This window comes from Homo sapiens, chromosome 8 (assembly GCF_000001405.40).
Source record: "Homo sapiens chromosome 8, GRCh38.p14 Primary Assembly".
NCBI classification, from domain to species: domain Eukaryota; kingdom Metazoa; phylum Chordata; class Mammalia; order Primates; family Hominidae; genus Homo; species Homo sapiens.
This window is the reverse complement of record NC_000008.11, coordinates 33,949,484-33,975,919: the sequence shown is the minus strand read 5'-3', so window position 1 is coordinate 33,975,919 and position 26,436 is coordinate 33,949,484. Positions and strand designations below refer to the sequence as shown.

At 40.1% G+C, this 26,436-nt stretch overlaps 1 long non-coding RNA gene and 1 pseudogene across 5 annotated transcripts in view; one reads left to right on the top strand and one right to left on the bottom strand.

The window, feature by feature from the left end:
* Positions 1-26,436, bottom strand: part of LOC105379364 (uncharacterized) — a 535,736-nt gene that overhangs the window by 282,198 nt on the left and 227,102 nt on the right. The window lies entirely within an intron of this gene.
* CYCSP3 (CYCS pseudogene 3) lies at positions 6,042-6,359 on the top strand (annotated as a pseudogene).

Below are 26,436 nucleotides of genomic sequence, written 5' to 3'. Positions count from 1 at the left end.
AAGCTAACTGCTAGTGAGGGACAGATGGTTATTTTCCCAGATAATTCTAGGCTCGCCAATATCCACACTTGATTTTTAACCTATTTCTTAGAAATTAACTTGAAGTAAATAGCTAATTTTTTTATTTAGGAAAAAATAGGTAAGAGAAAAATGAAAAATTGATAGAACATCAAAAAATAACTTCACAACGGATTGTTATAGCAATTTTGATTGAGGCCACGTGATTGAAACATTTCCAAACACCTGATTATGAAGGGCAATGATTTAATGGGGGGGGGTGTAATCAATAGTTTGAAATAAAAAGAACTGACTGGAGTTGTTTTTACAATGCCTTCTCTCATTTTTCTTTTCTTTTCAAAACTATGCCTGCACACAGAATGCATGCGATTTGTTAATCATGATGGAGATCTCAGATGCTTTTGAAGGTAAGCCTCCTGGTATAGATGAGTAAAATTTTCCAGGTATCAGCTCCATGAGGACTGTCGGGAATCAGGAGGTCCATGTCCCCACCAAACAAACACACACACATACAACACACATTTAGTGTACTGGCTGCCAATGTGTGAGCTCCACAGCATCCACTTATTGTTCTGTATGTGTTCATCTTTGCTCTGCAACTAATTGGTGTCTATGTTAAAGAAGAACAGGCATCTTGCCTTATTCATCTCTTACATCTTTCAGAGTGTCCAGCACAGACATAGTAACATACCAAAGGCTCACCAAAGATCACTAATTGTTGGTTAAAGTAAGAGGCAGAATAATGACCCACCCCAACCACAAAGACGTGCCCATCGTAAATTCCAGAGCCTGTGAATATGTTATATTACATAGAAAAGAGGAATGAAGGTTGCAGATGGAATTAAGGTGCTAGTAAGCCACCGTAAGATAGGAAGATTATTCTGGTTTATTCCATTGTGCCCACTGTAATTACTGAGGTGTTTTATTGTTTTTGTTTTTGTTTGAGACGGAGTCTCACTCTGTCGTCCAGGCTGGAGTGCAATGGCGCGATCTCCGCTCACTGCAAGCTCCACCTCCCGGGTTCACGTCATTCTCCTGCCTCAGCCTCTTAGTAGCTGGGACTGCAGGCACCCGCCACCACGCCCAGCTAATTTTTTGTATTTTTAGTAGAGATGGGGTTTCACCCTGTTAGCCAGGATGATCTCGATCTCCTGACCTCGTGATCCGCTCGCCTCGGCCTCCCAAAGTGCTGGGATTATAGGCGTGAGCCACCGCGCTAGGCCAATTCCTGAGGTTTTTAAAAGAAAAAGAAGGAGGCAGAAAAGGAGTCACAGCCAGAGAAGGAAAACTGAAGATAGAAGGGTCAAGACGACATGATATGAGAAAGGCTTTTTTTTTTTTTAGATTCAGAGGGTACATGTGCAAATTTGTTACATGGTATATCGCATGATGCTAAGGTTTGGGCTTCAATTGAACCTGACACCCAAATAGTTACATAACACCCAATAGATAGTTTTCAACCCAAGTTCCCTACCTCCCTCCCTGCTCTAGTACTCTCCAGTGTCTATTGTTTCCATCTTTATGACCATGTGCCCCCAAAGTTTAGCTCCCACTGATAAGTAAGAACATGGGGTATTTGGTTTTCTACTTCCGTGTTAATTAGCTTAATATAATAGCCTGCAGCTGCATCCATGTTGCTGCAAAATACGTGATTTTATTCTTTTTTATGGCCACATCGTATCCCATGGTGTATATGTACCACATTTTCTTTAACCTATCCATCATGGACGGGCACCTAGATTGATTCTATGTCTTTGCTATTGTAAATAGTGCTGCAGTAAACATGTGCAGGTGTCTTTTTGGTAGAACAATTTATTTTCCTTTGGGTATATACCTAGTAATGGGATTGCTGGGTCGAATGCTAATTCTATTTTCAGCTCGTTGTAAAATCTCCAAACTACTTTCTACAGAGGCTGAACTGATATGAGAAAGTCTTAACCAGTTGTTGCTTCTTTGAAGAAGAAGGAAGGGGCCACAAGCCAAGGAATGTGGTGGCATCTAGACACTGGAAAAAGCAAGAAAATGAATTCTCCACTAAAGCATCCAGAAACACAGCTCTAAAGATCCCCAGTTTTAGTCCAGTATGACCCATGTTGGACTTCTAAACCATAGAATTGTAAGATACTAAATTTATGCTGTTTTAAACCATTATGTTCATGATAATTTGTTACAGTAGCCATAGAAATCTAATAAAATTGAGATACTTCTTTCCATTTGATTTATTTTCTTTGATTTTTTATTTTTTTATTTTTATTTATTTATTTATTTTTTGAGATGGAGTCTTGCTCTGTCCCCCAGGTTGGAGTGCAGTGACGCAATCTTGGCTCACTGCAAGCTCTGCCTCCCGGATTCATGCCATTCTCCTGCCTCAGCCTCCCAAGTAGCTGGGACTACAGGCGCCCCCCCAACCACACCCAGCTAATTTTTTTGTATTTTTAGTAGAGACGGGGTTTCACCGTGTTAGCCAGGATGGTCTTCATCTCCTGACCTTGTGATCCGCCTGCCTCAGCCTCCCAAAGTGCTGGGATTACAGGCGTGAGCCACCGCGCCCGGCCTTCTTTGATTTTTTAAAAGAAGTGACTATCAAGTTTTTATATTTATTGCCCCTAACCATCACCAAACAGTCAGTCATCAGCAGAGAGGACAACAGTGACTGAGGCATATGCGAAAGGGAAATTTGGCACATTATCCAAAGAAAGCTGCTTCACCATTTAAAATAGTTTCGTGTCTCACCTCCAGTGACTTTCTTATTTAAGAAAATCAATGGTCCACTTAAAATTCCCTTGTGCATGGGAATGTGGTGCCATGTAAATATTTGTTTGCTGCTGTCTCTCTCAGAGCCAAGCACCAGCTTTGCAGGTGGGATTACTTAATTGGCAATTATTAAATAAATTTAAAAGAGCCATGATTAGCAGACTAATTGCTGACCAGCAGTTCTATTGAATCTGTTTCCAATGCAAATGTCTCCTCTTCTCTTGGCTCAAGGTAATCAAGCTTTTCTTTGCAATTTTTCAGAAATCTTTGAAGTGTTTCTGCACACTCCAAATAGTCACTCACTAGTATGAAAGTTTTCCCTTGAAAGCTGGAATCAGGCACTTTTGCCTCTGGAAAGGGAAGGAAAAGTGGCAGACCTAGTTGTATTGTATTGTTTTCTTAGTTTCTCCAGGGAGAAAAGGGAACTGATCAACTTAAAAAGAACTAGTTACCCAGGATAGCTATTTAACGGAGAAAGACAAACCTGGTAATCAAAATAGACTGGTTATATTCAATACTGAAGGATAAATTTCTTTATAAGGTGCTGTGTTGTACTGATACTGTCTAAGATCTCTTTAGTGGAAAATTTATTTGAGGACTACCTCTAATCACCAGAAAATCAAGCATTTCATGACATCATCTGAGCATCCTTACCTGGACTCTGCCTCTCTCCTACCTAGCACTCCCTTTGCCCACAGCTCCGCTCCAACCCTGTCCCTTTTTAGTGCCAAGACTGCTTCAAGTTGCTGCTCATCCAGCGGTACATCCCCCATTCTTCCTTAGTTATTTTTATCTTTTCTCACATTTCTAAATAACACCACTTCTTTAGGTAGAAACTTCCCACCACCTGGCTTATCTGAACCTCTAGCCTATATCCATAGAATTATGTTGAGTAAACAGCCTGTCCCTATTACTCCTATTCTGCCGACACCATAGATCTGCTGTGGATGTCATCCATTGACCTACCCCAATCGGAAGCCAGAAGGCAAGGGAGCTAGGTGATTGTAGAAGTCAGCCTCCTGTAGCAAAGAGCAGGGCAGAAAAGTAATGAATGAATTCAGAATGGTGGGGATGAAACAGAGAATAGCCAACACAGGGTCTCTTTTTATAGGACAACCAAAAGTTGTATACATCGTTCTACTTTTGGTCTTTATTGAGACTCTTAGTAATGTTTGTTAAATTCCCACTATGTGTGGTATGCATCTTTCTTTGAAATAACAAGAATATAAACATTCTTCAGTTGCCCCCTCCTTCTTTCCTTTTTGTTTTTTCTTCAAGGTTTTGCTGAACGGCTACCTTCCCCTGGATTTCTTAATTCGTTTATTTCTACTAAATAAATAAGCCTGGTGCCTCCCTTCACCTATATAATAGATTTCCCTTTGCATCTTTATTGTCTATTCAACATTGACAAGTACATTTGGCAAATGGTAAGCATGCAATAAACATTAACTATTTTTATTTTTATTCCTCTCCTAAGAAATTCTTGCCTAATTAAATAAGGGCAAAAGGAGGCTATTGAGATAATGAGAAAATTTATAGATTTTTAAAAATTTTCATTAATCTAATAAAGATTTTAAACCTAACTTCCAGTTTTAGAAACAAGGAGGTGAAGAAACAAGTTGAACAACACCCCTCCACCAAAAAATAAAAAATCCAGAACAAATTAAAAATATGAGTCACTCTACAAGAAAACTGCCTACTTTCTTCAATAAGTCAACGTGCAGTAAAAAGGGAATAGGGGACTTTGTATATCAGAGTTTATCTAACTTTTCTGTAAAAGACCAAATAGCAAATATTTCAGGCTTTGCAGGCCATGTCATCTTGGTTACAACTACTCAACTCTTAAAGTCATAGGTAATACTTAAACAAATGGAATGGCTGTGTTCCAATAAAAATGTATTTACCATAAAATAGGCTGCAGGCCAGATTTGGCCAGCTCCTAATTCCTCTTCTATATTTAAGGAGGTTAAGAAATATAACAACCTAACAAATAAGTACACAATGGGCATTTTTAACTCAAAAGTTTTTATCAAGGTGTGGGAATAGGGGAAGGGGAGTTGAAAGAAGTCACAGGTTTCGGGGGCATGCAAAGGTCAGTAGAGAAATGAGGCCTGGGCAGTGTGTTGTTGGAAAAAGTACACACACAAAATGGCACCACCTGTAGGCTATTTATATATATTTATTTTATGTCCAGCAGTCGTCTATTTGATATGGACAGGAGGCATGAGGGTGGGGTCCCTGGAGAGAGGGCTTTACCCTCAAGCCTGGACCATGGCCCTAAGTGAGAACAAGAATTTCAGTTTTTGTGCCCAAATGTTGCCTTTTGGCCCAAAATACCTGCCTATTCTGTACCCATATAAACCTCAGACCCCAGGCTCCACAAGCAGCAGAGCAGCAGACAAGGAGAGAAAAGAGGAAGCATCTGAACACTGAGAGTTCACCTGAGCATGGTCGGAAAGGAGATCGACCAAACAGAACAGCCGAGCTCCAGGGGAAGATAATCTTCCCACCCCACCCCATCCCCTCTCCAGCTCCCCATCCCACTGACAGCCACCTCCATCACTCAATAAAATCCCCACATTCACTATCCTTAAGTCCATGTGACCTGATTCTTACTGGATGCGGGACAAGAATCCAGGATTCACTGAGTGTGGGAACCCAAAAAGGCTGTCACATTGACTCTTCACTGAGCGGTTTAACACCTAAGCCATCCCCAGACAGCAGGACTAAGAGAGCACTGTAATACTCCTAGACACTGCCATGGGGCAAGGGCCCAAAAGCACTCACCCTGGCTCCTGCACCTGCTCACCTATGTGCTCCCCATCCTGTAAGGGGTTTGAGCATGTGGCAGCCAAACAAATGAGCCACACTCCTGTTGCAAGTCCCATGAAAGGGTACAGGGAACTCTCCCATTTCATCTTCACACTACTTCCTCTGACATCCCATCACCATGGCACTCAAAATGTAATGACAGCACATATCTTTTACATATTTGTTGCAAATGCAGCAATTTGGACAATATATTCAAGAGAGCCATCATTATCCCAAGTCTGCATCTCCCATCCACCCTCTCCTCAGGCAATTGTGCTTTGGGTGGTGAGGTGTCATCTGCTATTTATTCCCTTAAGTAGTCCTCAATATTATCCTGAATAATTCTTTTTTACATTACCAAAAAAAGTCAGTTAAAAGTTACAGAATTCAGAGAGTGCGGACGTCCAGTTTCGCAGTGGGAGTCTTCATTGCGCCAGTGACTAAAAAGAGAATTAAATATGGGTGATGTTGAGAAAGGCAAGAAGATTTTTATTATGAAGTGTTCCCAGTGCCACACTGTTGAAAAGGGAGGAAAGCACAAGATTGGGCCAAATCTCCATGGTCTTTTCAGGTGGAAGACAGGTCAGGCCCCTGGATACTCTTACACAGCCGCCAATAAGAACAAATGCATCATCTGGGGAGAGGATACACTGATGGAGTATTTGGAGAATCCCAAGAAGTACATCCCTGGAACAAAAATGATCTTTGTCAGCATTAAGAAGAAGGAAGAAAGGGCAGACTTGATAGCTTATCTCAAAAAAGCTACTAATGAGTAATAATTGGCCACTGCCTTATTTATTACAAGACAGAAATGTCTCATGACTTTTTTATGTGTACCATCCTTTAATGGATCTCATACACCAGAATTCAGATCATGAATGACTGACAGAATATTTTATTGGGCAGTCCTGATTTAAAACTAAGCCTGGCTTGTGGTTAAATGAATATGTTCAGTTTTTGAATTTTAATAGTAACTCCAATTCAGTAAATGCTATCACTGTTTACCCCTTTTAAAGATATGATTAGACTTCATTAGTAATGTTCAACTTTTCACAAAGATGATGAGTGCCATCTTAAAACTTATACTGGAGATTGGTTTTATATTTAGATTTATATAACTGGTTATGTGAATATATTTAAATACTGGGGAAATTCCTTCACTGTCTTAGAACCAAGCAAGATTCACATGTGTTTTGTGTTCATTTGCCTCTTAAAGGCAAGGGTTGAAGATAAATATGGTAGCAATGTCTATAGTTTTGGTCTTAACTACGCCAATCTAATTATAATTCCCTGTATTTAAAATGGTTCCCTTTACTTATTGAAAGGCATTTTAGTGTGGTTTATGTGTAATATTAAAGATTATTCAACACCTCTCACATCTTAAAGATCTCTAAGGTCACATGCTTTTAAAATAGTAGCAAGTTAAACTTCACTCTTGAATTCTTTACAATCTAAGTCAAACTAAGTTATACTTTAGGATTGTCTTTAAACAGCCATTCAGAAATATAAAACTGTAGAACTGGGTATATGTGATTGGGAATGGTGCTTTTGCCAACTTAAAAGGATTAAGGTAACGGAGATATGCACAAATTTTAAAATTATGTGTGATCACAAGACTAAAGATAATTAAAAAGAAAACCACAAAAAAAAAGGTTACAAAATTCTAAACTGATTCTTTTCAAAAGAGAGGTACATTATGGAATGTGTTAAACTCATAGTTCCATTTTTAAAAAATGTTAACCATAATATTTTTATTTTTAATTCAATTTCATTTTATAATTGACATAATAATTGTGCATATTCATCAGGTACATAGTGAAGTTTCAATACATATAATGTATATTGATCAGAACAAGATAATCAGTAAATCCATCATCATAAACATTTATCATTTCTTTGTGTTAGGAATGTTCAATATCCTCCTTCTAGCTGTCTGAGACTATAAAATATATTATTGTTAACTATAGTCATCCTACAATGATATAGACCACTATAACTTATTCCTCCTATCTAGCTGTAATTTTATATTATAATTCTATTAAAAAGAGTAAGGTAAGAGCCCCAAATGGTGAAATTTTCTCTTTTCGTTCCTGGATAAAGCTGACCACCAGTTTTAACATATCTAGACTTCAATTTTTTTATTAACAAAAGGACAAGTGTGAACTAGAATATACATCCAACATTGTGACATTGACCAGAAGTCTTTTGCTTCCTATACTTATCACTAAGAACCACTCTTGTGGCAATAACTTAAGACTGCACTATTTATACTTAGATTTTTGTGGAACATTTCTGATAAAGTTTTTTTATTATTTAGACAAAAATTTAAAAGGTCAAATGGTAATAAATAAAAACCAAGATATATAAGTCACCACTTAAAAAATTATATCAGTGGGGATGGAGCCAAGATGGCCAAATAGGAACAGCTCCAGTCTACGGCTCCCAGCGTGAGCAATGCAGAAGATGGGTGATTTCTGCATTTCCAAATGAGGTACCGGGTTCATCTCACTGGGGAGTGCCAGACAGTGGGTGCAGGACAGTGGGTGCAGCGCACCATGCATGAGCCGAAGCAGGGCAAGGCATCGCCTCACCTGGGAAGCACAAGGGATCAGGGAATTCCCTTCCCTAGTCAAAGAAAGAGGCGACAGACGGCACCTGGAAAATTGGGTCACTCCCACCCTAATACTGCGCTTTTCAAATGGCACACAGGCTTAACAAACGGCACAACAGGAGATTATATCCCGGCACATCAGGAGATTATATCCCGGCACACCAGGAGATTATAACAAACGGCACATCAGGAGATTATATCCCGCACCTGGCTCGGAGGGTCCTATGCCCACGGAGCCTCACTCATTGCTAGCACAGCAGTCTGAGATCAAGCTGCAAGGTGGCAGCGAGGCTGGGGGAGGGGCGCCCGCCATTGCTCAGGCTTGAGTAGGTAAACAAAGCGGCCAGGAAGCTCGAACTCGGTGGAGCCCACCACAGATCAAGGAGGCCTGCCGGCCTCTGTAGACTCCACCTCTGGGGGCAGGGCACAGACAAAAAAAGACAGCAATAACCTCTGCAGACTTAAATGTCCCTGTCTGACAGCTTTGAAGAGAGTAGTGGTTCTCCCCGCACGCAGTTTGAGATCTGAGAATGGGCAGACTGCCTCCTCAAGTGGGTCCCTGACCCCAGAGTAGCCTAACTGGGAGACACCACCCATTAGGGGTGGACTGACACCTCACACGGCTGGGTACTCCTCTGAGACAAAACTTCCAGAGGAACAATCAGGCAGCAGCATTTGTGGTTCACCAATATCTGCTGTTCTGCAGCCACCACTGCTGATACCCAGGCAAACAGGGTCTGGAATGGACCTCCAGCAAACTCCAACAGACCTGCAGCTGAGGGTCCTGACTGTTAGAAGGAAAACTAACAAACAGAAAGGACATCCACACCAAAAACCCATCTGTACATCACAATCATCAAAGACCAAAGGTAGATAAAACCAAAAAGATGGGGAAAAAACAGAGCAGAAAAACTGCAAACTCTAAAAATCAGAGCTCCTCTCCTCCTCCAAAGGAACGCAGCTCCTCTCCAGCAATGAAACAAAGCTGGAAGGAGAATGACTTTGACGAGTTGAGAGAAGAAGGCTTCAGATGATCAAACTACTCCGAGCTAAAGGAGGAAGTTCAAACCCATGGTAAACGAGTTAAAAACTTTGAAAAAAAATTGGACGAATGGATAACTAGAATAACCAAAGCAGAGCAATCCTTAAAGGACCTGATGGAGCTGAAAATCAAGGCACAAGAACTAAGTGATGAATGCACAAGCCTCAGTAACCAATGCGATGAACTGGAGGAATGGGTATCACAGATGGAAGATGAAATGAATGAAATGAAGCATGAAGAGAACTTTAGAGAAAAAAGAATAAAAAGAAATGAACAAAGCCTCCAAGAAATATGGGACTATGTGAAAAGACCAAATCTACATCTAATTGGTGTACCTGAAAGTGATGGGGAGAATGGAATCAACTTGGAAAACATTCTGCAGGATATTATCCAGGAGAACTTCCACAATCTAGCAAGGCAGGCCAACATTCAGATTAAGCAAATACAGAGAACACCACAAAGATAATCCTCGAGAAGAGCAACTCCAAGACACATAATTCTCGTATTCACCAAAGTTGAAATGAAGGACAAAATGCTAAGGGCAGCCAGAGAGAAAGGTCGGGTTACCCACAAAGGGAAGCCCATCAGACTAACAGCTGATCTCTCAGCAGAAACTCTGCAAGCCAGAAGAGAGTGGGGGCCAATAGTCAACTTCTTAAAGACAAGAATTTTCAACCCAGAATTTCATATCCAGCCAAACTAAGCTTCATAAGTGAAGGAGAAATAAAATACTTTACAGACAAGCAAATGCTGAGAGATTTTGTCACCACCAGGCCTGCCCTAAAAGAGCTCCTGAAGGAAGCACTAAACATGGAAAGGAAAAACCGGTACCAGCCACTGCAAAAACGTGCCAAATTGTAAAGACCATCCAGGCTAGGAAGAAACTGCATCAACTAACGAGCAAAATAACCAGCTAACATCATAATGACAGGATCAAATTCACACATAACAATACTAACCTTAAACATAAATGGGCTAAATGCTCCAATTAAAAGGCACAGACTGGCAAATTGGATAAAGAGTCAAGACCCATCTCTGTGCTGTATTCAGGAAACCCATCTCACATGCAGAGACACACATAGGTTCAAAATAAAGGGATGGAGGAAGATCTACCAAGCAAATGGAAAACAAAAAAAGGCAGGGGTTGCAATCCTAGTCTCTGATAAAACAGACTTTGAACCAACAATGATCAAAAGAGACAAAGAAGGCCATTACATAATGGTAGAGGGATTGATTTAACAAGAAGAGCTAACTATCCTAAATATATATGCACCTCAAACAGGAGCACCCAGATTCATAAAGCAAGTCCTGAGTGACCTACAAAGAGATTTAGACTCCCACACAATAATAATGGGAGACTTTAACACCCCACTGTCAACATTAGACAGATCAACGAGACAGAAAGTTAACAAGGATGTCCAGGAATTGAACTCAGCTCAGCACCAAGCAGACCGAATAGACATCTACAGAACTCTCCACCCCAAATCAACAGAATATACATTCTTTTCAGCACCACACCACACCTATTCCAAAATTGACCACATAGTTGGAAGTAAAGCACTCCTCTGCAAATGTAAAAGAACAGAAATTATAAAAATGGTCTCTCAGACCACAGTGCAATCAAACTAGAACTCAGGAGTAAGAAACTCACTCAAAACGGCTCTACTACATGGAAACTGAAAAACCTGCTCCTGAATGACTACTGGGTACATAACGAAATGAAGGCAGAAATAAAGGTGTTCTTTGAAACCAACAAGAACAAAGACACAACATACCAGACTCTCTGGGACACACTCAAAGCAGTGTGTAGAGGGAAATTTATAGCAGTAAATGCCCACAAGAGAAAGCAGGAAAGATCTAAAATTGACACCCTAACATCACCATTAAAAGAACTAGAAAAGCAAGAGCAAACACATTCAGAAGCTAGCAGAAGGCAAGAAATAACTAAGATCAGAGCACAACTGAAGGAAATAGAGACACAAAAAACCCTTCAAAAAATCAATGAATCCAGGAGCTGGTTTTTTGAAAAGATCAACAAAATTGATAGACCGCTAGCAAGACTAATAAAGAAGAAAAGAGAGAAGAATCAAATAATGACAAAGGGGATATCACCACTGATCCCACAGAAATACAAACTACCATCAGAGAATACTATAAACACCTCTACGCAAATAAACTAGAAAATCTAGAAGAAATGGATAAATTCGTTGACACATACACCCTCCCAACACTAAACCAGGAAGAAGTTGAATCTCTGAATAGACCAATAACAGGCTCTGAAATTGAGGCAATAATTAATAGCTTACCAACCAAAAAAAGTCCAGGACCAGATCGATTCATGGCCGAATTCTACCAGAGGTACAAGGAGGAACTGGTACCATTCCTTCTGAAACTATTCCAATCAATACAAAATGAGGGAATCCTCCCTAACTCATTTTATGAGGCCAGCATCATCCTGATACCAAAGCTGGGCAGAGACACAACCAAAAAAGAAAATTTTAGATCAATATCCTTGATGAACATCAATGCACAAATCTTCAATAAAATACTGGCAAACCGAATCCAGCAACACATCAAAAAGCTTATCCACCATGATCAAGTGGGCTTCATCCCTGGGATCCAAGGCTGGTTCAACATACAAAAATCAATAAACACAATCCAGGATATAAACAGAACCAAAGACAAAAACCACATGATTATCTCAATAGATGCAGAAAAGGTCTTTGACAAAATTCAACAACCCTTCATGCTAAAAACTCTCAATAAATTAGGTATTGATGGGACGTATCTCAAAATAATAAGAGCTATCTATGAGAAACCCACAGCCAATATCATACTGAATGGACAAAAACTGGAAGCATTCCCTTTGAAAACTGGCACAAGACAGGGATGCCCTCTCTCACCACTCCTATTCAACATAGTGTTGGAAGTTCTGGCCAGGGCAATTAGGCAGGAGAAGGAAATAAAGGGCATTCAATTAGGAAAAGAGGAAGTCAAATTGTCCCTCTTTGCAGATGACATGACTGTATATCTAGAAAACCCCATCGTCTCCGCCCAAAATCTGCTTAAGCTGGTAAGGAACTTCAGCAAAGTCTCAGGATACAAAATCAATGTGCAAAACTCACAAGCATTCTTAGACACCAATAACAGACAAACCGAGAGTCAAATCATGAGTGAACTCCCATTCACAATTGCTTCAAAGAGAATAAAATACCTAGGAATCCAACTTACAAGGGATGTGAAGGACCTCTTCAAGGAGAACTACAAACCACTGCTCAACGAAATAAAAGAGGATACAAACAAATGGAAGAACATTCCATGCTCATGGGTGGGAAGAATCAATATCATGAAAATGGCCATGCTGCCCAAGGTAATTTATAGATTCAATGCCATACCCATCAAGCTACCAATGACTTTCTTCACAGAATTGGAAAAAACTACTTTCAAGTTCATATGGAACCAAAAAAGAGCCCGCATTGCCAAGTCAATCCTAAGCCAAAAGAACAAAGCTGGAGGCATCACACTACCTGATGTCAAACTATACTACAAGGCTACAGTAACCAAAACAGCATGGTACTGGTACCAAAACAGAGATATAGATCAATGGAACAGAACAGAGCCCTCAGAAATAATGCCGCATATCTACAACTATCTGATCTTTGACAAACCTGACAAAAACAAGCAATGGGGAAAGGATTCTCTATTTAATAAATGGTGCTGGGAAAACTGGCTAGCCATATGTAGAAAGCTGAAACTGGATCCCTTCCTTACACCTTATACAAAAATTAATTCAAGATGGATTAAAGACTTACATGTTAGACCTAAAACCATAAAAACCCTAGAAGAAAACCTAGGCAATACCATTCAGGATATAGGCGTGGGCAAAGACTTCACCTCTAAAAGACCAAAAGCTATGGCAACAAAAGCCAAAATTGACAAATGGGATCTAATTAAACTAAAGAGCTTCTGCACAGCAAAAGAAACCACCAGCAGAGTGAACAGGCAACCTACATAATGAGAGAAAATTTTTGCAACATACTCATCTGACAAAGGGCTAATATCCAGAATCTACAATGAACTCAAACAAATTTACAAGAAAAAAACAAACAACCCCATCAAAAAGTGGGCAAAGGATATGAACAGACACTTCTCAAAAGAAGACATTTATGCAGCCAACAGACACATGAAAAAATGCTCATCATCACTGGCCATCAGAGAAATGCAAATCAAAACCACAATGAGATACCATCTCACACCAGTTAGAATGGCGATCATAAAAAGTCAGGAAACAACAGGTGCTGGAGAGGTTGTGGAGAAATAGGAACACTTTTACACTGTTGGTGGGACTGTAATCTAGTTCAACCATTGTGGAAGTCGGTGTGGCGATTCCTCAGGGATCTAGAACTAGAAATACCATTTGACTCAGACATCCCATTACTGGGTATATACCCAAAGGATTATAAATCATGCTGCTATAAAGACACATGCACGCATATGTTTATTGTGGCACTATTCACAATAGCAAAGACTTGGAACCAACCCAAATGTCCAACAATGATAGATTGGATTAAGAAAATGTGGCACATATACACCATGGGATACTATGCAGCCATAAAAAATGATGAGTTCATGACCCTTGTAGGGACATGGATGAAGCTGGAAACCATCATTCTCAGCAAACTATCGCAAGGACAAAAAACCAAACACCGCATGTTCTCACTCATAGGTGGGAATTGAACAATGAGAACACATGGACACGGGAAGGGGAACATCACACACCAGGGACGGTTGTGGGGTGGGGGTGGGGGGAGGGATAACATTAGGAGATATACCTAATGCTAAATGACGAGTTAATGGGTGCAGCACACCAATATGGCGCATGTATACATATGTAACAAACCTGCACGTTGTGCACATGTACCCTAAAACTTAAAGTATAATAAAAATAAAATAAAAAGAAAATCTACATATGATACAATTACAAAAAAATTACACACAGTGAGTGTATATAACCTGGTGAAATCTGAACAAATTCTGTGGATTTTACCAATGTTGATGTCCCAGTTTTGATAATGCACTATAGTTATGTAAGATATTACCACTGGTGGAGGCTAGGTGAAGTGGGTACAGGGTCTCCTGTACCATTATTTTTGGAACTTTTTGTGAATCTATAATTATTTCAAAATAAAAAGTTTAAAAAGAAGAAATGAAAAATAAATGTTGTTGTACTCTGAAAAAAAAAATTATATCAGTGATCTCAGTACTAAAGAGACAACAAAAAGAGAGTTGCCTCCAAAACAAAGGGAAAAAACATTTTCAGGCAGTTGAGAAAATAATTCAGTAACAAGAGCAATCAGGATTGGAGGAAATATCCTTTGCTCAATCTAGGCAGAGGATAAGAAAGAATGAGAAAGTAAAGACTAGAAATCATTCAATCAAAGGAAAATGGAATCAAAATACTACAGGAAAAACACAACATATGATGTCCTGAGTCCCATTTCTTTTACACCAAACTTGCCACTTTCATATCACCCATTTTATCATAACCATACTTTAATTATCAGTGAGTTTTTCTAGCAAAGTTTTTAAGCAAAGTGCGCCATGCTTTTCTATATTGTACAGGCTCTGAATCATTTGGAGGAAAAATACTATGCAAATCTAAGATGTAAATGAATGCCATCTGTGCATTTTAAGATTAGAAACAAGTGCAATTCACCACTGAGTGAACTAACCTCCCTGTCTAGGAGACGCTAGTGTTATACAGAAATGTAATGTCCATTTCTTCCTACCTTCTGTTGCCAGCCTTAATTTTGGGTCCAAAAGTGCCTGAGTTAGGATGGTTCAACTTACAATTTTTTTACTTTACAATAGTGTAAAAGTGACACACATTCAGTAGAAAATGTATTTCAACTACCCATACAACCATTCAGTTTTTCACTTTCAGTACAGTGTTCAATAAATTACATGAGGTACTCAGTACTTTATTTTAAAATGTGTTAGGTAATTTTCTTGGCCAATCTAAGTGTTCTGAGCCCCTTTAAGGTAGACTAGGCTAAGCTATGATGTTCAGTAGGTTAGGTGTACGAAACATATTATCAATTTATAATATTTTCAACATATGATGGTTTAGTGGGAAGTAAGTCTATTTATGTAAGTTGAGAAGTGATTGCGTGTCTGTGTATACATATGTGGGTTGCATATATACACAAATATACATACAGAAGCTAATTAAACAAAAACCCATTATTAGGTACAAAGTGGTGTGGTTGGTAAACTTGTGTTTGGTTTGGTTTGGTTTCTATGATTCTTAACTAATCACAAAATTGGTTCCTCTTCTATTTTCAGGGCTATTTTTCCATGGCCCTCTATTTCTCATTACCCTTCTTCAAGGCTTTAACCCGTTTCTCATTTAGAAAAAAAAAAAAAGTGCAGCTTGCTGCCAGTGCTCATTTGATTCTACATAAGCACACTCTTTGAGGCTGAAGCAAATCTGACTGATTTTCAATGTGAAAATAAAATATAAAAACTGTTCTTGGAGTGCTTTCTAAACAGAACGTGTCTCTAATCCTAATGTAACAGAAATTATGTGATGTAACATTAGGATTAGACACAAGTATTCTCAGGGCAAACGGGAAATGGGTTAATAGAATTTAGCAGCTATCAGTCACCTTCACTGTCACTCACATGTGTAATCGCATTCCCCACCACCCAAACATTTTTCAGTCTCACCAGTGAACTCTTTTGCAATTAGACTACTACCTTGTACCACGGGCATCTATGGCCAACCCACTACTCAGGATGATGTTCTCTTTGCCCCCAGGAAGTGGGTTAGCCAGTTCCAAATCTCCACCTTACTACCTGCTGTCTTGGAGCACTCTCACTAACACATTAGGTTGGGTCTTCTGAGGAGCAAACACCAAAACAGGGTTAGGAGTGCAGAGGGTTTATTAGAAAGAAATGGGACAAGGTGCTATTGGACTACAATGTAGGTCTGACAGCTATGGAAGGAGAACTTAGCAGAAAGAAACTTCAACAACAGCACTATTGAAAGAAAAAAAAAATCCTGATGGATGTCCAAAAGCCAAAGTCTTTTGCTGGAAGAATTCTTTAATATTGCCAAAATAAGCCTGCCATAAAATCTTTGCCATCTTCACTTATCAGCTGGGAGCAGCCCACAGAAACATGAGGTTGGCATGGATGTTGCAGTAGATCAAAAGGGACAGGAGCTGGAACCATCACTATGCTGCACACAGTAAAAGATCAGAGTCACCTGTTTTCTCCTTTTTTCCCTGGCTTTTCCCCCAAGATCACCAGCACCACCACCAAAGCATGCAGGAATTTTCACAGGTAAGCCAAATGAAGAAATCACCAATCAGGGAGGCAGTATTTTGGAGATACCTGAAAGATCCTCTTGCATTTAGCCAAAAGCCAAAAGTCATCTATTTTCCTCATGGAATTCCATTAACCCAAGGTGAAAACAGACCATTTTTCACATTAAGTGTTAATGTAGAGCTCATATCTTAAGGTTATTTACATTTGATCTCTCAGTGAACCAAGGAATAGTAAATGTAGAGGAAAGATCTTAGAAAAAGAAGTAATTACAAAACTGGACTCAATTTTGCATTGGCACAAACATACTATCCAACCTTGGGAAAAGGTAAGTAATATCTGTGGAGCTCACCAGGCATACAACAGTGAGCTGATAAAACTAAGTTATTGACACTATGCTTATTTGGGGGGATATAGTCCCTGCCCTTCAAAAGCACAGATATGATAGAGCTTTGAACCAAATGTCCTCAGCTTTAAAATGATGTTTCCACAGCTTTTCTTAAAAAAGAATTTTAGGCTGACCAAGATGGCTGACTGGAAGCAGTTACTGGAAGCAGTTACTGTGCACTGCTCTCATGGAGAGAAATAGAAGAGGTGGGTAAATTCAGTTCCTTCAACTGAAACTCCCAGGTGCACACATTGAAATTCATCAAGAAAATTCCTTGAACCACAGAGAATGGAGAAAAGCAAGACAAGACAACCACCCACCCAGAAGCAACACAGAGCCAACGGAGCCTCCCCCACCAAGGGAAGTGGTAAGTGAATGAGCAACCCCAGGGACCCACACTTCTCCCATAGATTTTTGCAACCCTTGGGTCAGGAGATCCCCTCATGAACCCATTCCACGAGGGCCTGCAGTCTGACACGCAGAGCTACATGGAGTCTTGGCGAAGCAGCTGGTTACTCAGGCACACGAGGAGCCCCAAAAGCTTTAGATATCTGCACTTCCCAGAGAAAGTGGCTACAATTCAGGCAAAGTGGGAGGTTAGACTCCCATTCATACTGCTAGAAAAGGAGCTGAATCCAGGGGGCTGAGCGGTGATGGTCTGCAGGCCCTGCCTCCATGCACCTTTCAGGGTAAGACCCACTAGTTTGGAACTGCAGCCAGCCACCAGCAGCAACGTTACACCTCCCTGAGACAGAGCTCCCAGAGGACGGGGTGAGCCACCATCTTTTCTATTTTGCAACCTTAGTGGTTGTTGCCTTCAGTGCAGCTGCCCTGTGGAAAAGTGTCCAGACCACTTTTTAAATGTGAATCCCCAAACCTGCTTCTTCTCACCTGGTGGGACCTCCTGACCAGGGTCACCAGCAACCTTTGCCAGTGTTTTCCAGCTGTCAGTGGTTCCAAGACTCCCTGGCACAGGGCTCCCAGGGGGAAGGATGGACTGCCATTTTTGCTGTTTCATAGCCTTTGTCAATGTTGCCTTTGGGATCTAGGGAATCTGAGGCAACTAGGGACTGGAGTGGTCCCCCTGGCACAGCACAGCAGCTCCATGGAGAATTGGCCAGATTGCTTTTTCACATGGGTCCCAGATCCCATTTCTCTTCACTGGGTGGGATCTCCTGACCGAGGTCTACAACTACCACTGCCGGTGTGTTCAGGCTGGAAACAGATATGTACCTCCCTGGGATGGAGCTCCCAGAGGGAGGAGCAGACCGCTGACTTTGCCATTTCACAGCCTTCACAGTTGATACCTTCAGGTGCTGGAAAAATCTACGGTGGCTAGGGACTGGAGCAGAACACCAACATAATGCAGCAGCCCTGCAGCAAAGTGGTCAGACTTTGCTGAGGAGATACAATTGTCCCTGATCTCATATCTCCTCACTGGGTAGGATCTCACAGCCTGGGTCTCCAGTAGAAGCCCTGCAACTCCCTGAGTCAGAGCTCCCAGTAGGAGTGGGGGTTGCCATTTTGCAGTCTCATGGCCCCACCCTTGCTGTCTCCAGGCTCTGGAGAATCCATGAGGACCAGGAGCTGATTCAGACCCCAGCACAGAGCACTCACTTCATGGAAAAGTGGGTGAACTATTCTCCATGCAGGTCGCAGTCCTCATGCCTCCTCACTAGGCAGGGCCACCCAACATGGGACTGCAGCACAATCATCCTGGCCCCACCTAACTACTTCAATCAGAGGCATCCCAGCAGTTAAAGGAAAATCCACATGCAGAGATTAGAAAGAACCAATGCAAGAACTCTGGCAACTCAAATGGCAGAGTGTCTTATATTCTCCAAATGACTGTACTAATCCTCCAAATGAATGCACTAGTTCTCCAACAAGGGTTCTTAACTAGGTTTAGTTGCCTGAAATGACAGAAATAGAATTCAGAATACGGATAGAAATGAAGATCATTGAGATTCAGCAAAATGCAGAATCCAATACAAGGAAACTAAGAATCAAAATAAAACAATACAGGAGATGACTGATAAAATAGCCAGTATAAAAAGGAACCTAACTAATCTGATAGAGCTTACAAACACACTGCAAGAATTTCACAATGCAATTGCAAGTATTAACAGCAAAATATACCAAGCTGAGGAATGAATCTTGGAACTTGAAGACTGGCTCTCTGAAATAAGACAGCAGACAAAAATAAAGAAAAAGGGATGAAAAGGAACAAATGAAACATCCAAGAAATAGGAGATTATGTAAATACGTCAAATCTACACATCACTATCATCTCTGAAAGAGACAGGGAGAAAGCAAAAAAACTTGGAAAATATATTTCAGGATATCATCCATGAAAACTTTCCCAACGTTGCTAGAGAGGCCAACAGTCAAATTCTGGAAATACAGAGAACCCTGCAAGATTCTACACAAAAAGATCATCCCCAAGATATAATCATCAGATTTTCCAAGGTCAAAATGAAGAAAAAGAATATTAAAAGCATCTAGAGAGAAAGGGCAGTTCACCTGCAAAGGGAACCCTATCAGGCTAACAGCAGACCTCTCAGCTGAAACCCTGCAAGCCAGAAAAGATTGGGGGCCTTCATTCAACATCCTTAAAAAAAAATCTTCAACCAAGAATTTAATATACAGCCAAACTGAGCTTCCTCAGTGAAAGAGAAATAAGATCCTTTTCGTATTTGGGATTGAGAGAGTTTGTTACTACCAGACCTGCCTTACAAGAGATCTTGAAAGGAACACTAAATATATAAGGGAAATACTGCCACCAGCTCATACAAAAACATACTTCAACACACAAACCAGTGACACTATAAAGCAACCACCCCAACAAGCTAGCATAATAGCCAACTGATAACACAATGACAGAATTAAATCCACACATATCAATACTAACCTTGAATGTAAATGAGCTAAATGCCCCATTTTAAAGGCACAGAGTGGCAAGCTGGAGAAAAAGGAAGATCCAATGATATGCTGTCTTCAGGAGCCCCATGTCACATGTGACACCCATTGGCTCAAAATAAAGGGATGGAAGAAAATCTACCAAGCATGTGAAAATCAGAAAAAAGCAGGAATTGCAATCCTAATTTCAGACAAAGTAGACATTAAACCAACAAAAATTAAAAAAAGAAGGGCATTACGTAATGGTAAAATATTCAATTCAGCAAGAAGACGTAACTGTCTTAAATATATATGCACCCAACACAGGAGCACCCAGATTCATAAAGCAATTTCTTAGAGACCTACAAAGAGATTTGAGACTCCCTTAACAGTGGGAGACTTCAACACTCCACTGATGGTATTATACAGATCTTCTAGGCAGAAAATTAACAAAGATATTTAGGACATGAACTCAACATTGGACCAAGTGAATCTAATAGACTTCTACAGAACTTGCCACCCAAAAACAACAGAATATACATTCTTCTCATTACCATGTGGCACACACTCAAAAATGACCACACAATTGGACATAAAACAATCCTTAGCAAATGCAAAAGAACTGAAATCATACCAAACACACTCTCAGAGCACAACAAAATAAAAATAGAAATAAATATGTAAAAATTGCTCAAAACTATGCAATTACATGTAAATTAAACAACCTCCTGCTGAATGACTTTTGGGTAAATGATAACATTAAGGCAAAAAATCAAGAAGTTCTCTGGAAGTAATGAAAACAAAGAGGAAACATACCAGAATCTCTGGGACACAGCTAAGGCAGTGTTAAGAGGGAAATTTATAGCAATAAATACCTACATCAAAAAGTTAAAAAGATCTCAAATTAACAACCTAACATTGCAACTAAAAGAACTAGAGAAGCATAAGAAAACAAACCTCAAAGCTGGCAGAAGACAAGAAATAACCAAAATCAGAGCTAAACTGAAGGAGATCAAGACATGAAAAACCATACAAAAGATCAACAAATCCAGGAGTTGGTTAAAAAAAACTAATAAGACAGGCCACTAACTAGACCAATGAAGAAGAAAAATGAGAAGTTCCAAATAAACACAATTAGAAATCACAAAGGGGATGTAACCACTGACCCCACAGAAATACATACAACCATAAGAGACTGCTATGAATACCTCTAAGCACACAAACTAGAAAAGCTAGAAGAGATGGATAAATTCCTGGACACACACTCTCCCAAAACTGAACCAGGAAGAAACTGATTCGTTGAACAGACCAAGAATGAGCTCTGAAATTAAATCAGTAATACATATCCTACCAATAAAAAAAACCCAGGACCAGAAGAATTCATGGCTGAATTCCACCAGATGTACAAAGAAGAGGTGGTGGCATTCCTACTAAACAATTCCAAAATTTTGAGAAGTCTTCTCCAACTTATTCTATGAGGCCAGCATCATCCCAACACCAAAATCTGGCAGAGACACATACAAAAAAAGAAAACTTCAGGCTAATATTCTTGATAAACATTGACGTGAAAATCCTCCACAAAATACTTGTAAACCAAATCCAGCAGCACATCAGAAAAAGCTAATCCACCACAATCGAGCAGGCTTTGGACTTTATTCCTGGAATGCAAGGTTGGTTCAACATACACAAATCAATAAATGTGATTCATCACATAAATAGAACCAAAGACAAAAACCACATGGTAATCTCGATGGATGCAAAAAAGGCTTTCAATAAAATTCATTGTCTCTTCATGTTAAAAACTCTCGATACACTAGGTATTGAATGAAAATACCTCGAAATAATAAGAGCCATTTATGACAAACCCACAGCCAACATCATACTAAATAAGCAAAAACTGGAAAAATTCCCCCCTTGAAAACTGACACAAGACAAGGATGCCCTCTCTCACCACTCCTATTCAACATAGTATTGGAAGTCCTGGCCAAAGTAGTCAGGTAAGAGAAAGAAATAAAGGGCATCCAAATAGGAAAAGAGAAGTCAAAGTATCCCTGGTTGCAGATAACATAATTCTATATCTAGAAAACACCCAAAAGCTCAGCCCAAAATCTCCTTCAGCTGATAAACAATTTCAGCAAAGTCCCAGGTTACAAAATCAGTATACGAAAATCACTGACACTACTATATACCAACAATAGGCAAGCCAAAAGCCAAATCAGGAACACAATCCCACTTACAGTTACCACAAAAAGAATAAAATACCTAGGAAACAGCTAACCAGAGAGGTGAAAAATCTCTACAATGAGAATTACAAAGTACTGCTCAAAGAAATCAGAAATGGCACAAACAAATGGAAAAACATTCCATGCTCATAGATAAAAAGAATCAATATTATTAAAATGGCCATACTGCCCAAAGCAATTTATAGATTCACTGCAATTCCTATCAAACTACCAATGAGAGAAGAAGGGTGGAGCAATATGGCAGAATGGAAGGCTCCACTAATTGTTCCCCACCTGCAAGGATACCAAGTTAACAATTAGCTTCACATTCTTCACAGAACTAGAAAAAAAAACTATTTTAAAATTCATATGGAACGCTAAAAGGGCCCAAATAGCCAAGGCAATCCTAAGCAAAAATAAAAAAGCTGGAGACATCACATTACCCAACTTCAAACTACACTACAGGGCTACAGTAACAAAAGCAGCATGATACTGGTATGAAAACAGACACATAGAACAATGAAATAGCATGGAGAGCCTAGAAGTAAGGCCACACACCTACAACATATGATCTTTGACAAAACTGACAAAAAGAAAAAAAAAAAAAAAACAAGAAATTGGGAAAGGACTCCAATAAATGGTACTAGAATAACTGGCTAGCAATATGCAGAAGACTGAAACTGGACCCTTTCCTTACATCATATACAAAAATCAACTCAAAATAGATTACAGAGTCCAATGCAAAACCCAAAATTATAAAAATCCTGGAATACAACCTAGGCAATACCATTCTGGACATAGGAACTGGCAAAGAGTTCCTGTCTTTGCTGCGGATGGGAAGAATAATCGGTGGAGACTTCAATTCTGCCATCTTTCTCCACCCTTCTTCTCTCATTGGTAGTTTGATAGGAATTGCATTGAATCTGTAAATTGCTTTGGGCAGTATGGCCATTTTAATAATATTGATACTTCTTCCTATCCATGAGAATGAAATGTTTTTCCATTTGTTTGTGTCACCTCTGATTTCTTTGAGCAGTACATTGTAATGTCAATAAATTTCAATGAACCAGAAAAAAAAATTTTAACTAGTTGAAGAGAAAGCTATATATAGAATGTCACATAAAATCATTTAAGTAATAGATAATTTTGGAGGTTTAGGGTAATTGAGATTTGTTATCACCAAGCCAAGTTTCTCTAGAAATCAGCTATAAATTCTTAAGGAGTAATTAGTTCTTACTTCATTTATTACTTCTATATAATGGATTGGTTGAAATTTCTAGATTTATGTTACTAAGATTTGAGGGTTCTACCTGTCAAATAACAGAATGGTTTTTAACTAGACCTGAATTCAAGATATTTTGGTTTTCTTCCCTGATTAGTATAGGACATTGGACATATAATTAACTTTTCTAAACTTTCATTTTCTCATCTGTAAAATGGGGACAATTACAGTAACTATATGAAATACTACATGCAAAATTATTGAGAGTGTCTATCAAAGGCACTCATTAAATAGTCTATTATTTAAAAAAAAAAATGCTGAGAAAGATGGCAGGTGACATATGCCTCCTCCACAGAAAGAAACTAAAACACTAAGTAGACCCTTCCATTTTGACCAGATTGTCCAGGAGAGAATGCTGGGATTCATCAGAGAAGAGATGGGAAGCACCAGAAATAAGTAAGGAGGGCATTTGTCCAACTGGAGACTGAGCTGGGAAAGGCACCTGGATACGGGGAAACAGTAAAAGAGAAATCCCCAGGGCACTGAAATGGGCTTTTGCAATATTGGCTATGGAAGAAACCCTTGAACCACTAGGGCCTCAGGCCTGACATATGGAGCTGCCTAAAGACTACAGAGACATTGCTCCAGGAAGGCAACCCACACGGAATTCACAGCATCCAAGCCTAGTGCAGCCTCAGCCAGGTGCCATTTTGAGAGCCTAGATCCTGGGAATCTACAGAAATGGCTGCTGCCACCGCACTGCTCCAAAGAGGGAGAGGAGAGACTGGACACTCCCTCTCACTCATGGGAGAGTCCCTACTTCCCTGCCCTGCTTTGGGCTGCCTTTGAGACTGAGACATGAACGGACTGCAATCCCCACAGCTTCTTGCCCATGTTGCTTGCCTTAGGAAGACCCTCCCCTCCCTGGTCCCAGGTCCAAGGCATCATTTTGAGAGCTTAACACTGGGCTGTGCCCACCCTTGGGCTAAGTTTGAGTTGATGTAGCTGTAGCCGCTGCCTGGCCAAGGAGGGACAGGGAACCAGGCTGTCCTACACATAAATAGGACAATACCCACCACCCTGCTACAGGCTGCTGTGAGACTGAGACTCCAGTAGACAGCATTCCCCACAGCTTCTTGTCCATGCTTCTCACTTGAGAGGGACTCTGTCATCTCTGGTCATAAGCCAACAACTGAAACAATTTTGAGAATTTAGCGTTGAGCTTTGTTCCACCCTTAGGCTGAGTTTGAGAGATGTGGCTGCAGCCTCCACCTAGCCAGGGGAGGAACAGGGGAGACCAAGCTCTCCTAAACACACTTAGGACAATACCCACCACCCTGCTATGGGTGGCTGTGGGACTAGGAACTAACCTACCCAACCCATCATAGCTACCAGCAATACCAGCACGGACTGCTTGGGCCCCAGTGGCTTGCTCCATCACCACTACTGCCATCATCCACACCACACAAGATGCCCAGGGGACTGAGAACCTGCCCACACACCTGGCCCACCATTCCCACTGCTAGCTTCTTAGCAAGCCACCTGGAGGCCCAAAAGTCAGCCCTCTAGGACTCACTAATACCAGAGCCGGTGTAAATTTCTCTGAGCCTTAAAAATAGGGACATCCACCCCACTGCTGCCACCACCAGGGCCCAAAGATTAACTGAGATGGAATCCAAGTCCTCAGCTGAACTTCATCACAACTTCGACTAATGGCTGTACCCTAAGTCACTGAGGAAATCACATGTACCACCAACCCTATGTACTCCTGAAGAAATCATACAAAGATCACACTATCTCAGCACCCAAAATCACAGCCAAAGTATCCCGCTCAGTTAACAATACACATACATCCTCAGGAAAAATTCTCCCCTACTAAAGCAATTTCAAAGAAAACTGAAGCAAGTGACTGCTAGAACAGATGAGCAGATACCAAGGGAAGGACATAGAAAACATGAAAAAGCAGGGACATATGATACTACAACAATTTTCCAGCAACAGATCCCAATCAAAAAGAATTCCTCAAAATGCCAGATAAAAAATTTAAAATATTGATTTTTAAAAAGCTTAATGATAGGCAAGATAAATCTGAAACCCAATACAAATAAATCAGAAAATCAATTCAGAATATAAATAAAAAATTTACTAAGAAGATAGCTATCTGAAATTTAAAAACCAAACAAAAAGCCTGGAAATAAAAAATTCATTAAAGGAAATACAAACTATATATGAAAGCTTTAATAATAGACTAGACCAAGCAGAAGAAAGAATCTCAGAACTTGAAGACAGGTCTTTTGAAATAATTCAGTTAGACAAAACTAAGGAAAAAAGAATTTTAAAAAATGAACAAAGTCTTCCAGACATCTGGGAATATGTAAAGAGACCGAATTTATGAATTATCAGTATTCCAAAATGGGGAGAGAGATCAAAAACTTTAGAAAATTTAATTAATAAAATAATCAATGAAAATTTCTCAAGTCTATCAAGATAGTTACACATTCAGATCTAACTTCTACCCGTTGATTTCTAAACTTGTGTATATGACCCACAAATAACATACTGCCATATAATGGCCATTGTCTCCTTATCACCAGTCAGTCTTTTTGAAAGCTAGTGTCATACTGGGGGCTAAGCTTTGGTCCTGTGGCCAGCAAGTTGGGCTACTGGCAGAAATGGTAGCTTGATGGAGTTTAGTAAGTGGAAGCTGTAGTTGTTGGCTCATCCTGTGGTCATAGATTTTAGGAGAGGGAGAAACATCATTTTGACAGAGATGGAACACATGTGGGTCTGGCACATGAAGCTGACTTGAGCCATCTGGCTTTGCTCATGCCTGATCCCAAATTTACCACTTCCTTCCTGTGATAGATTGCTACCAGGTTCACCCAATCTTATGATTTGATGGATCTGACAGAATCCAGGTCATGAGGGGCAATTCTGGCTACCTAGGACAGTTGGTATCCCTTGATCAGGCACTCTGTTTCTCCCAGACCCCTGTGGCACACAAAAGCCTGTTTTCAGAGAGATTAATTTCCTACTGCAAGAAGCAGGCTCCTGGGCTCAAGAGATTCTTCTGCCTCAGCTTCCCAAATAGCTAGGACTACAGGTCCATGCCACCATGCCCAGCTAATTGCATCATTTTTA